Raw genomic sequence first — 16,518 nt, 5'->3', positions numbered from 1 at the left:
ATCCACTTGCAGACTCTACAGAAAGAGTGTTTCAAAACTGCTCTATCAAAAGGAAGGTTCAACTCTGTGAGCTGAATGGACAGATCACAAAGGAGTTTCTGAGAATGCTTATGTCTAGTTTTTATGTGAAGATAATCCCGTTTCCAATGAAGGCCTCAAAGCAGTCCCACTATCCACTTGCAGATTCTACAAAAATAGTGTTTGAAAACTGGACTATATAAAGAGAAGTTCAACTTTCTGAGTTGAATGCAAACATCACAAAGGAGTTTTACACAATACTTCTGTCTAGTTTTTATGTGAAGATATTTCCTTTTTCACCATAGCCCTTGACGTGCTCCAAAAGCCCACTGGTGCATTCTACAAAAAGAGTGTTGCAAAACTGCCCTATTAAAAGGAAGGATCAACTCTGTGAGTTGAATGCAAACATCACAAAGATGTTTCTGAGAATGCTTCTGTCCAGTTTTTATGTGAAGACATTCCCTTTCCACCAGAGGCCTCAAAGCGCTCCCAATATCCACTTGCTGATTCTACAAAAACACTGTTTCAAAACCGCTCCATAAAAAAGATGGTTCATCTCTGTGAGTTGAATACACACATCACAAAGAAGTTTCAGAGAATGCTTCTGTCTAGTGTTTATGTGAAGATATTCCCGTTTCCAATGAAGGCCTCAAAGCAGTCCAAATATCCACTTGCATATACTACAAAAATAGTGTTTCAAAACTGCTCTATGAAAAGGTATGTTCAACACTGTGAGATGAATGCAAAGGTCACAAAGAAGTTGCTGAGAATGCTTCAGTCTAGTTTCTATGTGAAGATATTTCCTTTTCGACCACAGCCCTCAAAGCACTCCAAATGTCTACTTGCAGATTCGATAAAAGAGTTTTTCAAAACTGCTCTATCAAAAGAAAGGTTCAGCGCTGTGAGTTGAATCTACATATCACAAAAAAGTTTCTGAGAATGCCTCTATCTACTTTTTATGTGAAGATATTCCGGTTTCCAACGAAGGCCTCAAAGCGCTCCAAATATCTACTGGCAGATTCTACAAAAAGAGTGTTTCAAAACTGCTCTATTAAAGGAAGGTTCAACTCTGTGAGTTGAATTCACACATCACAAAGAAGTTTCTGACAATGCTTCTACCTAGTTTTTATGTGAAGATAGTACTGTTTCCTATGAAGGCCTCAATGTGGTCCAAATATCCACTTGCAGATTCTACAAAAAGAGGTTTTCCAAACTGCTCTATGAAGAGGTAGGTTCAACTCTGTGAGTTGAATGCAAACATCACAAAGTAGTTTCTGGGATTGCTTCGGTCTAGTTTTTAGGTGAAGATATTTCCATTTGCACAATAGCCCTCAAAGCGCTCCAAATATCCACTGGCGGATTCTACAAAAAGAGTGTTTCAGAACTGCTCTGTCAAAAGAAATGTTCAACTGTGTTAGTTGAATGCCCACATCACAAAGAAGATTCTGAGAATCATTCTGTCTAGTTTTTATTCGAAGATATTCCCGTTTCCACCTAAGGACTCAAAGCGCCCCAAATATCCACTTGCAGATCTTACAAAAACACGTTTCAAAACTGCTCTCTCAAAGGAACGGTTCATCTCTCTGGGTTCAATGCACACATCACAAAGAAGTTTCTGAGAATGCTTCTGGCTAGTTTTTATGTGAGGATATTCCCATTTCCAACAAAGGCTTCAAAGCGCTCCAAATATTCACCTGCAATTGTACAAAAGAGTGTTTCAAAACTCTTCTATCAAAAGGAAGGTTCAACTCTGTGAGTTGAATGCACACTTCACATAGATGTTTCTGAGAATGCTTCTTTCTAGTTTTTATGTGAAGATATTTCCTTCTCCACCATAGCCCTCAATGCGCTCCAAATGTCCACTGGCAGATTCCACGGAAACAGGGTTTCAAAACTGCTCTAACAAAAGAAAAGTTCAACTCCGTGATTTGGATGCACACATCACACAGCAGTTTCTGTGAATCCTTCTGTCTAGATTTTATATGAGGATGTATCCTTTTCTACCATGGGCATCAAAGCCTTCCACATATCCAATGGTAGATTGTACAAAAGAGTGTTTCAAAACTGCTTTATGAAAAGGAAGGTTCAACTTTGGGAGCAGAATGCAGACATCACGAAGAAGTTTCCGAGAATGCTTCTGTCTAGTTTATATGTGAAGATATTCCCATTTCCAGCAAAGGTCTCAAAGCGGTCCAAATATCCACTTGCGGATTCCCCAAAAAGAGTGTTTCAAAACTGCTCTATGGAAAGGTATGTTCAACTCTGTGAGTTTAATGCAAACATCATAAAGAAGTTTCTGAGGATGCTTCTGTCTAGTTTAATGGGAATATATTTTCTTTTCCACCATAGCCCTCAAATAGCTCCAAATATCCACTTTCAGATTCTACAGAGTGTTTCAAAACTCCTCTATCAAAAAAAAGTTTCAACTCTGTGAGTTGAATGCACATATCTCAAAGTAGTTTCTGAGAATGCTTTTGTCTGTTTTTCATAGGAAGATATTTCCTTTCTGACCATAGGCCTCAAATCGCTCCAGATATCCACATGCAGATTCTACACAAAGAGTGTTTCAAAACTGCTCTATCAAAAGGAAGGTTCAACTCTGGTAGTTGAATGCAAACATCACAAAGAAGTTTCTCAGAATGCTTCTGTCTAGTTTTTATATGCAGATATTTCTTTTTCTACCATAGGCCTCAAAGCGCTCCTGATATCCACTTGCAGACTCTACAGAAAGAGTGTTTCAAAACTGCTCTATCAAAAGGAAGGTTCAACTCTGTGAGCTGAATGGACAGATCACAAAGGGGTTTCTGAGAATGCTTATGTCTAGTTTTTATGTGAAGATATTCCCGTTTCCAAGGAAGTCTTCAAAGCACTCCAAATATCCACCTGCAGATTCTACAACAAGTGTCTTTCAACACTGCTCTATCAAAAGTGAGGTTCCACTCGGTGAGTTGAATGCACACATCACAAAGAAGTTTCTAAGAATCCTTCAGTCTAGTTTCTATGTGAAGGTAATCCCGTTTCCAACGAAGGCCTCAAAGCAGTCCCAGTATCCACTTGCAGATGCTACAAAAATAGTGTTTGAAAACTGGACTATATAAAGAGAAGTTCAACTTTCTGAGTTGAATGCAAACATCACAAAGGAGTTTTACAGAATACTTCTGTCTAGTTTTTATGTGAAGATATTTCCTTTTTCACCATAGCCCTTGACGTGCTCCAAAAGCCCACTGGTGCATTCTACAAAAAGAGTGTTGCAAAACTGCCCTATTAAAAGGAAGGATCAACTCTGTGAGTTGAATGCAAACATCACAAAGATGTTTCTGAGAATACTTCTGTCCAGTTTTTATGTGAAGACATTCCCTTTCCACCAGAGGCCTCAAAGCGCTCCCAATATCCACTTGCTGATTCTACAAAAACACTGTTTCAAAACCGCTCCATAAAAAAGATGGTTCAACTCTGTGAGTTGAATACACACATCACAAAGAAGTTTCAGAGAATGCTTCTGTCTAGTGTTTATGTGAAGATATTCCCGTTTCCAATGAAGGCCTCAAAGCAGTCCAAATATCCACTTGCAGATACTACAAAAATAGTGTTTCAAAACTGCTCTATGAAAAGGTATGTTCAACACTGTGAGATGAATGCAAACGTCACAAAGAAGTTGCTGAGAATGCTTCAGTCTAGTTTCTATGTGAAGATATTTCCTTTTCGACCACAGCCCTCAAAGCACTCCAAATGTCTACTTGCAGATTCGATAAAAGAGTTTTTCAAAACTGCTCTATCAAAAGAAAGGTTCAACGCTGTGAGTTGAATCTACATATCACAAAAAAGTTTCTGAGAATGCCTCTATCTACTTTTTATGTGAAGATATTCCGGTTTCCAACGAAGGCCTCAAAGCGCTCCAAATATCTACTGGCAGATTCTACAAAAAGAGTGTTTCAAAACTGCTCTATTAAAGGAAGGTTCAACTCTGTGAGTTGAATTCACACATCACAAAGAAGTTTCTGAGAATGCTTCTACCTAGTTTTTATGTGAAGATAGTACTGTTTCCTATGAAGGCCTCAAAGTGGTCCAAATATCCACTTGCAGATTCTACAAAAAGAGGTTTTCCAAACTGCCCTATGAAGAGGTAGGTTCAACTCTGTGAGTTGAATGCAAACATCACAAAGTAGTTTCTGGGATTGCTTCGGTCTAGTTTTTAGGTGAAGATATTTCCATTTGCACAATAGCCCTCAAAGCGCTCCAAATATCCACTGGCGGATTCTACAAAAAGAGTGTTTCAGAACTGCTCTGTCAAAAGAAATGTTCAACTGTGTTAGTTGAATGCCCACATCACAAAGAAGATTCTGAGAATAATTCTGTCTAGTTTTTATTCGAAGATATTCCCGTTTCCACCTAAGGACTCAAAGCGCCCCAAATATCCACTTGCAGATCTTACAAAAACACGTTTCAAAACTGCTCTCTCAAAGGAACGGTTCATCTCTCTGGGTTCAATGCACACATCACAAAGAAGTTTCTGAGAATGCTTCTGGCTAGTTTTTAATGTGAGGATATTCCCATTTCCAACAAAGGCTTCAAAGCGCTCCAAATATTCACCTGCAATTGTACAAAAGAGTGTTTCAAAACTCTTCTATCAAAAGGAAGGTTCAACTCTGTGAGTTGAATGCATACTTCACATAGATGTTTCTGAGAATGCTTCTTTCTAGTTTTTATGTGAAGATATTTCCTTCTCCACCATAGCCCTCAATGCGCTCCAAATGTCCACTGGCAGATTCCACGGAAACAGGGTTTCAAAACTGCTCTAACAAAAGAAAAGTTCAACTCCGTGATTTGGATGCACACATCACACAGCAGTTTCTGTGAATCCTTCTGTCTAGATTTTATATGAGGATGTTTCCATTTCTACCATGGGCATCAAAGCCTTCCACATATCCAATGGTAGATTGTACAAAAGAGTGTTTCAAAACTGCTTTATGAAAAGGAAGGTTCAACTTTGGGAGCAGAATGCACACATCACGAAGAAGTTTCCGAGAATGCTTCTGTCTAGTTTATATGTGAAGATATTCCCATTTCCAGCAAAGGTCTCAAAGCGGTCCAAATATCCACTTGCGGATTCCCCAAAAAGAGTGTTTCAAAACTGCTCTATGGAAAGGTATGTTCAACTCTGTGAGTTTAATGCAAACATCATAAAGAAGTTTCTGAGGATGCTTCTGTCTAGTTTAATGGGAATATATTTTCTTTTCCACCATAGCCCTCAAATAGCTCCAAATATCCACTTTCAGATTCTACAGAGTGTTTCAAAACTGCTCTATCAAAAAAAAGTTTCAACTCTGTGAGTTGAATGCACATATCTCTAAGTAGTTTCTGAGAATGCTTTTGTCTGTTTTTCATAGGAAGATATTTCCTTTTTGACCATAGGCCTCAAATCGCTCCAGATATCCACATGCAGATTCTACACAAAGAGTGTTTCAAAACTGCTCTATCAAAAGGAAGGTTCAACTCTGGTAGTTGAATGCAAACATCACAAAGAAGTTTCTCAGAATGCTTCTGTCTAGTTTTTATATGCAGATATTTCTTTTTCTACCATAGGCCTCAAAGCGCTCCTGATATCCACTTGCAGACTCTACAGAAAGAGTGTTTCAAAACTGCTCTATCAAAAGGAAGGTTCAACTCTGTGAGCTGAATGGACAGATCACAAAGGAGTTTCTGAGAATGCTTATGTCTAGTTTTTATGTGAAGATATTCCCGTTTCCAAGGAAGGCTTCAAAGCACTCCAAATATCCACCTGCAGATTCTACAACAAGTGTCTTTCAACACTGCTCTATCAAAAGTGAGGTTCCACTCGGTGAGTTGAATGCACACATCACAAAGAAGTTTCTAAGAATCCTTCAGTCTAGTTTTTATGTGAAGATAATCCCGTTTCCAACGAAGGCCTCAAAGCAGTCCCAGTATCCACTTGCAGATTCTACAAAAATAGTGTTTGAAAACTGGACTATATAAAGAGAAGTTCAACTTTCTGAGTTGAATGCAAACATCACAAAGGAGTTTTACAGAATACTTCAGTCTAGTTTTTATGAGAAGATATTTCCTTTTTCACCATAGCCCTTGACGTGCTCCAAAAGCCCACTGGTGCATTCTACAAAAAGAGTGTTGCAAAACTGCCCTATTAAAAGGAAGGATCAACTCTGTGAGTTGAATGCAAACATCACAAAGATGTTTCTGAGAATGCTTCTGTCCAGTTTTTATGTGAAGACATTCCCTTTCCACCAGAGGCCTCAAAGTGTTCCCAATATCCACTTGCTGATTCTACAAAAACGCTGTTTCAAAACCGCTCCATAAAAAAGATGGTTCAACTCTGTGAGTTGAATACACACATCACAAAGAAGTTTCAGAGAATGCTTCTGTCTAGTGTTTATGTGAAGATATTCCCGTTTCCAATGAAGGCCTCAAAGCAGTCCAAATATCCACTTGCAGATACTACAAAAATAGTGTTTCAAAACTGCTCTATGAAAAGGTATGTTCAACACTGTGAGATGAATGCAAACGTCACAAAGAAGTTGCTGAGAATGCTTCAGTCTAGTTTCTATGTGAAGATATTTCCTTTTCGACCACAGCCCTCAAAGCACTCCAAATGTCTACTTGCAGATTCGATAAAAGAGTTTTTCAAAACTGCTCTATCAAAAGAAAGGTTCAACGCTGTGAGTTGAATCTACATATCACAAAAAAGTTTCTGAGAATGGCTCTATCTACTTTTTATGTGAAGATATTCCGGTTTCCAACGAAGGCCTCAAAGCGCTCCAAATATCTACTGGCAAATTCTACAAAAAGAGTGTTTCAAAACTGCTCTATTAAAGGAAGGTTCAACTCTGTGAGTTGAATTCACACATCACAAAGAAGTTTCTGAGAATGCTTCTACCTAGTTTTTATGTGAAGATAGTACTGTTTCCTATGAAGGCCTCAAAGTGGTCCAAATATCCACTTGCAGATTCTACAAAAAGAGGTTTTCCAAACTGCCCTATGAAGAGGTAGGTTCAACTCTGTGAGTTGAATGCAAACATCACAAAGTAGTTTCTGGGATTGCTTCGGTCTAGTTTTTAGGTGAAGATATTTCCATTTGCACAATAGCCCTCAAAGCGCTCCAAATATCCACTGGCGGATTCTACAAAAAGAGTGTTTCAGAACTGCTCTGTCAAAAGAAATGTTCAACTGTGTTAGTTGAATGCCCACATCACAAAGAAGATTCTGAGAATAATTCTGTCTAGTTTTTATTCGAAGATATTCCCGTTTCCACCTAAGGACTCAAAGCGCCCCAAATATCCACTTGCAGATCTTACAAAAACACGTTTCAAAACTGCTCTCTCAAAGGAACGGTTCATCTCTCTGGGTTCAATGCACACATCACAAAGAAGTTTCTGAGAATGCTTCTGGCTAGTTTTTAATGTGAGGATATTCCCATTTCCAACAAAGGCTTCAAAGCGCTCCAAATATTCACCTGCAATTGTACAAAAGAGTGTTTCAAAACTCTTCTATCAAAAGGAAGGTTCAACTCTGTGAGTTGAATGCATACTTCACATAGATGTTTCTGAGAATGCTTCTTTCTAGTTTTTATGTGAAGATATTTCCTTCTCCACCATAGCCCTCAATGCGCTCCAAATGTCCACTGGCAGATTCCACGGAAACAGGGTTTCAAAACTGCTCTAACAAAAGAAAAGTTCAACTCCGTGATTTGGATGCACACATCACACAGCAGTTTCTGTGAATCCTTCTGTCTAGATTTTATATGAGGATGTTTCCTTTTCTACCATGGGCATCAAAGCCTTCCACATATCCAATGGTAGATTGTACAAAAGAGTGTTTCAAAACTGCTTTATGAAAAGGAAGGTTCAACTTTGGGAGCAGAATGCACACATCACGAAGAAGTTTCCGAGAATGCTTCTGTCTAGTTTATATGTGAAGATATTCCCATTTCCAGCAAAGGTCTCAAAGCGGTCCAAATATCCACTTGCGGATTCCCCAAAAAGAGTGTTTCAAAACTGCTCTATGGAAAGGTATGTTCAACTCTGTGAGTTTAATGCAAACATCATAAAGAAGTTTCTGAGGATGCTTCTGTCTAGTTTAATGGGAATATATTTTCTTTTCCACCATAGCCCTCAAATAGCTCCAAATATCCACTTTCAGATTCTACAGAGTGTTTCAAAACTGCTCTATCAAAAAAAAGTTTCAACTCTGTGAGTTGAATGCACATATCTCTAAGTAGTTTCTGAGAATGCTTTTGTCTGTTTTTCATAGGAAGATATTTCCTTTTTGACCATAGGCCTCAAATCGCTCCAGATATCCACATGCAGATTCTACACAAAGAGTGTTTCAAAACTGCTCTATCAAAAGGAAGGTTCAACTCTGGTAGTTGAATGCAAACATCACAAAGAAGTTTCTCAGAATGCTTCTGTCTAGTTTTTATATGCAGATATTTCTTTTTCTACCATAGGCCTCAAAGCGCTCCTGATATCCACTTGCAGACTCTACAGAAAGAGTGTTTCAAAACTGCTCTATCAAAAGGAAGGTTCAACTCTGTGAGCTGAATGGACAGATCACAAAGGAGTTTCTGAGAATGCTTATGTCTAGTTTTTATGTGAAGATATTCCCGTTTCCAAGGAAGGCTTCAAAGCACTCCAAATATCCACCTGCAGATTCTACAACAAGTGTCTTTCAACACTGCTCTATCAAAAGTGAGGTTCCACTCGGTGAGTTGAATGCACACATCACAAAGAAGTTTCTAAGAATCCTTCAGTCTAGTTTCTATGTGAAGATAATCCCGTTTCCAACGAAGGCCTCAAAGCAGTCCCAGTATCCACTTGCAGATTCTACAAAAATAGTGTTTGAAAACTGGACTATATAAAGAGAAGTTCAACTTTCTGAGTTGAATGCAAACATCACAAAGGAGTTTTACAGAATACTTCTGTCTAGTTTTTATGAGAAGATATTTCCTTTTTCACCATAGCCCTTGACGTGCTCCAAAAGCCCACTGGTGCATTCTACAAAAAGAGTGTTGCAAAACTGCCCTATTAAAAGGAAGGATCAACTCTGTGAGTTGAATGCAAACATCACAAAGATGTTTCTGAGAATGCTTCTGTCCAGTTTTTATGTGAAGACATTCCCTTTCCACCAGAGGCCTCAAAGTGTTCCCAATATCCACTTGCTGATTCTACAAAAACGCTGTTTCAAAACCGCTCCATAAAAAAGATGGTTCAACTCTGTGAGTTGAATACACACATCACAAAGAAGTTTCAGAGAATGCTTCTGTCTAGTGTTTATGTGAAGATATTCCCGTTTCCAATGAAGGCCTCAAAGCAGTCCAAATATCCACTTGCAGATACTACAAAAATAGTGTTTCAAAACTGCTCTATGAAAAGGTATGTTCAACACTGTGAGATGAATGCAAACGTCACAAAGAAGTTGCTGAGAATGCTTCAGTCTAGTTTCTATGTGAAGATATTTCCTTTTCGACCACAGCCCTCAAAGCACTCCAAATGTCTACTTGCAGATTCGATAAAAGAGTTTTTCAAAACTGCTCTATCAAAAGAAAGGTTCAACGCTGTGAGTTGAATCTACATATCACAAATAAGTTTCTGAGAATGGCTCTATCTACTTTTTATGTGAAGATATTCCGGTTTCCAACGAAGGCCTCAAAGCGCTCCAAATATCTACTGGCAAATTCTACAAAAAGAGTGTTTCAAAACTGCTCTATTAAAGGAAGGTTCAACTCTGTGAGTTGAATTCACACATCACAAAGAAGTTTCTGAGAATGCTTCTACCTAGTTTTTATGTGAAGATAGTACTGTTTCCTATGAAGGCCTCAAAGTGGTCCAAATATCCACTTGCAGATTCTACAAAAAGAGGTTTTCCAAACTGCCCTATGAAGAGGTAGGTTCAACTCTGTGAGTTGAATGCAAACATCACAAAGTAGTTTCTGGGATTGCTTCGGTCTAGTTTTTAGGTGAAGATATTTCCATTTGCACAATAGCCCTCAAAGCGCTCCAAATATCCACTGGCGGATTCTACAAAAAGAGTGTTTCAGAACTGCTCTGTCAAAAGAAATGTTCAACTGTGTTAGTTGAATGCCCACATCACAAAGAAGATTCTGAGAATAATTCTGTCTAGTTTTTATTCGAAGATATTCCCGTTTCCACCTAAGGACTCAAAGCGCCCCAAATATCCACTTGCAGATCTTACAAAAACACGTTTCAAAACTGCTCTCTCAAAGGAACGGTTCATCTCTCTGGGTTCAATGCACACATCACAAAGAAGTTTCTGAGAATGCTTCTGGCTAGTTTTTAATGTGAGGATATTCCCATTTCCAACAAAGGCTTCAAAGCGCTCCAAATATTCACCTGCAATTGTACAAAAGAGTGTTTCAAAACTCTTCTATCAAAAGGAAGGTTCAACTCTGTGAGTTGAATGCATACTTCACATAGATGTTTCTGAGAATGCTTCTTTCTAGTTTTTATGTGAAGATATTTCCTTCTCCACCATAGCCCTCAATGCGCTCCAAATGTCCACTGGCAGATTCCACGGAAACAGGGTTTCAAAACTGCTCTAACAAAAGAAAAGTTCAACTCCGTGATTTGGATGCACACATCACACAGCAGTTTCTGTGAATCCTTCTGTCTAGATTTTATATGAGGATGTTTCCTTTTCTACCATGGGCATCAAAGCCTTCCACATATCCAATGGTAGATTGTACAAAAGAGTGTTTCAAAACTGCTTTATGAAAAGGAAGGTTCAACTTTGGGAGCAGAATGCACACATCACGAAGAAGTTTCCGAGAATGCTTCTGTCTAGTTTATATGTGAAGATATTCCCATTTCCAGCAAAGGTCTCAAAGCGGTCCAAATATCCACTTGCGGATTCCCCAAAAAGAGTGTTTCAAAACTGCTCTATGGAAAGGTATGTTCAACTCTGTGAGTTTAATGCAAACATCATAAAGAAGTTTCTGAGGATGCTTCTGTCTAGTTTAATGGGAATATATTTTCTTTTCCACCATAGCCCTCAAATAGCTCCAAATATCCACTTTCAGATTCTACAGAGTGTTTCAAAACTGCTCTATCAAAAAAAAGTTTCAACTCTGTGAGTTGAATGCACATATCTCTAAGTAGTTTCTGAGAATGCTTTTGTCTGTTTTTCATAGGAAGATATTTCCTTTTTGACCATAGGCCTCAAATCGCTCCAGATATCCACATGCAGATTCTACACAAAGAGTGTTTCAAAACTGCTCTATCAAAAGGAAGGTTCAACTCTGGTAGTTGAATGCAAACATCACAAAGAAGTTTCTCAGAATGCTTCTGTCTAGTTTTTATATGCAGATATTTCTTTTTCTACCATAGGCCTCAAAGCGCTCCTGATATCCACTTGCAGACTCTACAGAAAGAGTGTTTCAAAACTGCTCTATCAAAAGGAAGGTTCAACTCTGTGAGCTGAATGGACAGATCACAAAGGAGTTTCTGAGAATGCTTATGTCTAGTTTTTATGTGAAGATATTCCCGTTTCCAAGGAAGGCTTCAAAGCACTCCAAATATCCACCTGCAGATTCTACAACAAGTGTCTTTCAACACTGCTCTATCAAAAGTGAGGTTCCACTCGGTGAGTTGAATGCACACATCACAAAGAAGTTTCTAAGAATCCTTCAGTCTAGTTTTTATGTGAAGATAATCCCGTTTCCAACGAAGGCCTCAAAGCAGTCCCAGTATCCACTTGCAGATTCTACAAAAATAGTGTTTGAAAACTGGACTATATAAAGAGAAGTTCAACTTTCTGAGTTGAATGCAAACATCACAAAGGAGTTTTACAGAATACTTCAGTCTAGTTTTTATGAGAAGATATTTCCTTTTTCACCATAGCCCTTGACGTGCTCCAAAAGCCCACTGGTGCATTCTACAAAAAGAGTGTTGCAAAACTGCCCTATTAAAAGGAAGGATCAACTCTGTGAGTTGAATGCAAACATCACAAAGATGTTTCTGAGAATGCTTCTGTCCAGTTTTTATGTGAAGACATTCCCTTTCCACCAGAGGCCTCAAAGTGTTCCCAATATCCACTTGCTGATTCTACAAAAACGCTGTTTCAAAACCGCTCCATAAAAAAGATGGTTCAACTCTGTGAGTTGAATACACACATCACAAAGAAGTTTCAGAGAATGCTTCTGTCTAGTGTTTATGTGAAGATATTCCCGTTTCCAATGAAGGCCTCAAAGCAGTCCAAATATCCACTTGCAGATACTACAAAAATAGTGTTTCAAAACTGCTCTATGAAAAGGTATGTTCAACACTGTGAGATGAATGCAAACGTCACAAAGAAGTTGCTGAGAATGCTTCAGTCTAGTTTCTATGTGAAGATATTTCCTTTTCGACCACAGCCCTCAAAGCACTCCAAATGTCTACTTGCAGATTCGATAAAAGAGTTTTTCAAAACTGCTCTATCAAAAGAAAGGTTCAACGCTGTGAGTTGAATCTACATATCACAAAAAAGTTTCTGAGAATGGCTCTATCTACTTTTTATGTGAAGATATTCCGGTTTCCAACGAAGGCCTCAAAGCGCTCCAAATATCTACTGGCAAATTCTACAAAAAGAGTGTTTCAAAACTGCTCTATTAAAGGAAGGTTCAACTCTGTGAGTTGAATTCACACATCACAAAGAAGTTTCTGAGAATGCTTCTACCTAGTTTTTATGTGAAGATAGTACTGTTTCCTATGAAGGCCTCAAAGTGGTCCAAATATCCACTTGCAGATTCTACAAAAAGAGGTTTTCCAAACTGCCCTATGAAGAGGTAGGTTCAACTCTGTGAGTTGAATGCAAACATCACAAAGTAGTTTCTGGGATTGCTTCGGTCTAGTTTTTAGGTGAAGATATTTCCATTTGCACAATAGCCCTCAAAGCGCTCCAAATATCCACTGGCGGATTCTACAAAAAGAGTGTTTCAGAACTGCTCTGTCAAAAGAAATGTTCAACTGTGTTAGTTGAATGCCCACATCACAAAGAAGATTCTGAGAATAATTCTGTCTAGTTTTTATTCGAAGATATTCCCGTTTCCACCTAAGGACTCAAAGCGCCCCAAATATCCACTTGCAGATCTTACAAAAACACGTTTCAAAACTGCTCTCTCAAAGGAACGGTTCATCTCTCTGGGTTCAATGCACACATCACAAAGAAGTTTCTGAGAATGCTTCTGGCTAGTTTTTAATGTGAGGATATTCCCATTTCCAACAAAGGCTTCAAAGCGCTCCAAATATTCACCTGCAATTGTACAAAAGAGTGTTTCAAAACTCTTCTATCAAAAGGAAGGTTCAACTCTGTGAGTTGAATGCATACTTCACATAGATGTTTCTGAGAATGCTTCTTTCTAGTTTTTATGTGAAGATATTTCCTTCTCCACCATAGCCCTCAATGCGCTCCAAATGTCCACTGGCAGATTCCACGGAAACAGGGTTTCAAAACTGCTCTAACAAAAGAAAAGTTCAACTCCGTGATTTGGATGCACACATCACACAGCAGTTTCTGTGAATCCTTCTGTCTAGATTTTATATGAGGATGTTTCCATTTCTACCATGGGCATCAAAGCCTTCCACATATCCAATGGTAGATTGTACAAAAGAGTGTTTCAAAACTGCTTTATGAAAAGGAAGGTTCAACTTTGGGAGCAGAATGCACACATCACGAAGAAGTTTCCGAGAATGCTTCTGTCTAGTTTATATGTGAAGATATTCCCATTTCCAGCAAAGGTCTCAAAGCGGTCCAAATATCCACTTGCGGATTCCCCAAAAAGAGTGTTTCAAAACTGCTCTATGGAAAGGTATGTTCAACTCTGTGAGTTTAATGCAAACATCATAAAGAAGTTTCTGAGGATGCTTCTGTCTAGTTTAATGGGAATATATTTTCTTTTCCACCATAGCCCTCAAATAGCTCCAAATATCCACTTTCAGATTCTACAGAGTGTTTCAAAACTGCTCTATCAAAAAAAAGTTTCAACTCTGTGAGTTGAATGCACATATCTCTAAGTAGTTTCTGAGAATGCTTTTGTCTGTTTTTCATAGGAAGATATTTCCTTTTTGACCATAGGCCTCAAATCGCTCCAGATATCCACATGCAGATTCTACACAAAGAGTGTTTCAAAACTGCTCTATCAAAAGGAAGGTTCAACTCTGGTAGTTGAATGCAAACATCACAAAGAAGTTTCTCAGAATGCTTCTGTCTAGTTTTTATATGCAGATATTTCTTTTTCTACCATAGGCCTCAAAGCGCTCCTGATATCCACTTGCAGACTCTACAGAAAGAGTGTTTCAAAACTGCTCTATCAAAAGGAAGGTTCAACTCTGTGAGCTGAATGGACAGATCACAAAGGAGTTTCTGAGAATGCTTATGTCTAGTTTTTATGTGAAGATATTCCCGTTTCCAAGGAAGGCTTCAAAGCACTCCAAATATCCACCTGCAGATTCTACAACAAGTGTCTTTCAACACTGCTCTATCAAAAGTGAGGTTCCACTCGGTGAGTTGAATGCACACATCACAAAGAAGTTTCTAAGAATCCTTCAGTCTAGTTTCTATGTGAAGATAATCCCGTTTCCAACGAAGGCCTCAAAGCAGTCCCAGTATCCACTTGCAGATTCTACAAAAATAGTGTTTGAAAACTGGACTATATAAAGAGAAGTTCAACTTTCTGAGTTGAATGCAAACATCACAAAGGAGTTTTACAGAATACTTCAGTCTAGTTTTTATGAGAAGATATTTCCTTTTCCACCATAGGCCTCAAGGCCTTCGAAATGTCCACTTCCAGGTACTACAAAAAGAGTCTCAAAACTTCTCAATCAAAAGAAAGGTTTAACTCTGTGGGACGAATGCACACATCACAAAGAAGTTCCTCAGATTGATTCTGTCTAGATTTTATTTGAAGATATTTCCTTTTCTACCTTAAGCCGCAAAGCGTTCCAAATGTCCACTTGCAGATTCTAGAAAACAGAGTATTTCCAAACTGCTCAATCAAAAAAAAGATTCAAGTCTGTGAGATGAACACACACATCAAAAAGTATTTTCTCAGATTTCTTCTGTCTAGATTTCATGTGAAGACATTACCTTTTCTGCCGTAGGCTACAAAGCACTCCAAATGTCCACTTGCAGATTCTACAAAAAGAGTGTTTCCAAACTGCTCAATCAAAACAATTGTTCGACTCTGTGAGATGAACGCACACATCAGAAGGAAGTTTCTCAGAATTCTTCTATCTTCTTTTTATGTGAAGATATTCCCTTTTCCACCAGAGGTCTCAAAGTGCTCCAAATGTCTACTTCCACATTCTACAAAAAGAGAGTTTCAAAACTGCTCAATCAATAGAAAGGTTTAACTTGGTGAGAAGAATGCACACATCAAAAAGAAGTTTCTTAGATAACTTCTGTCTAGATATTATGTGAGGATACTTCCTTTTCTACCATAGGCCAAAAAGGGCTCCAAATGTCCAAATGCAGATTCTACAAAAAGAGAGTTTCCAAACACCTGAATCAAAAGAAAGGTTCAACTCTGTGAGATAAACGCACACATTACAAGGAAGTTTCTCAGAATTCTTCTGTCTAGTTTTTATGTGAAGATATTTCATTTTCTAACTTAGGCTGCAAAGCGCTCCAAATGTCCAGTTGCAGATTGCACAAAAAGAGTTTTTCCAAACTGCTCAATCAAAAGAAAAGTTCAACTCTGTGAGATGAAAGCACACATAAGAAAGAAATTTCTCAGATTGCTTCTGTCTAGATTTTATGTGAAGGTATTTCCTTTTCTACCATAGGCCGCAAAGCACTCCAAATGTCCACTTGCAGATTCTACAAAAAGAGTGTTTCCAAACTACTCAATCAAAAGAAAGGTTCAACTGTGTGAGATGAACGCATATCAAAAAGTAGTTTCTCAGAATTCGTCTGTCTAATTTTTATGTGAACATATTTCCTTTTCCACCATATGCCTCAAAGTGCTCCAAATGTCCACTTGCAGATTCTACAAAAAGAGTGTTTCCAAACTGCTCAATAAAAAGAAAGATTCAACTCTGTGAGATGAACACACACATCACAAAGGAGTTTCTCAAATTTCTTCTGTCTAGATTTTATGTGAAGATATTTCCTTTTCTACAATAGGCCGCAATGCGCTCCAAATTTCCACTTACAGATTCTACAAAAAGATTGTTTCCAAACTGCTCAATGAAAACAAACATTCAACTCTGTGGGATTAATGCACACATCACAAAGAAGTTTCTCAGAATTCTTCCGTCTTGTTTTGTTGTGAAGATATTTCCTTCTCAAACATAGGCTGCAAAGTGATCCAAATGTCCACTTGCAGATTCTACAAAAGGAGTGTTTCCAAACTGCTCAACCAAAAGAAAGGTTCAACTCTGTGAGATGAACGCACACATCACAAGGAAGTTTCTCAGAATTCTTCTGTCTAGTTTTTATGTGAAGATATTTCCTTTTCCACCATAGGCCTCAAAG

Source organism: Homo sapiens, chromosome 19 (genome assembly GCF_000001405.40).
Source record: "Homo sapiens chromosome 19, GRCh38.p14 Primary Assembly".
Lineage (NCBI taxonomy): Eukaryota > Metazoa > Chordata > Mammalia > Primates > Hominidae > Homo > Homo sapiens.
Note: the sequence above shows the minus strand (reverse complement) of the source record.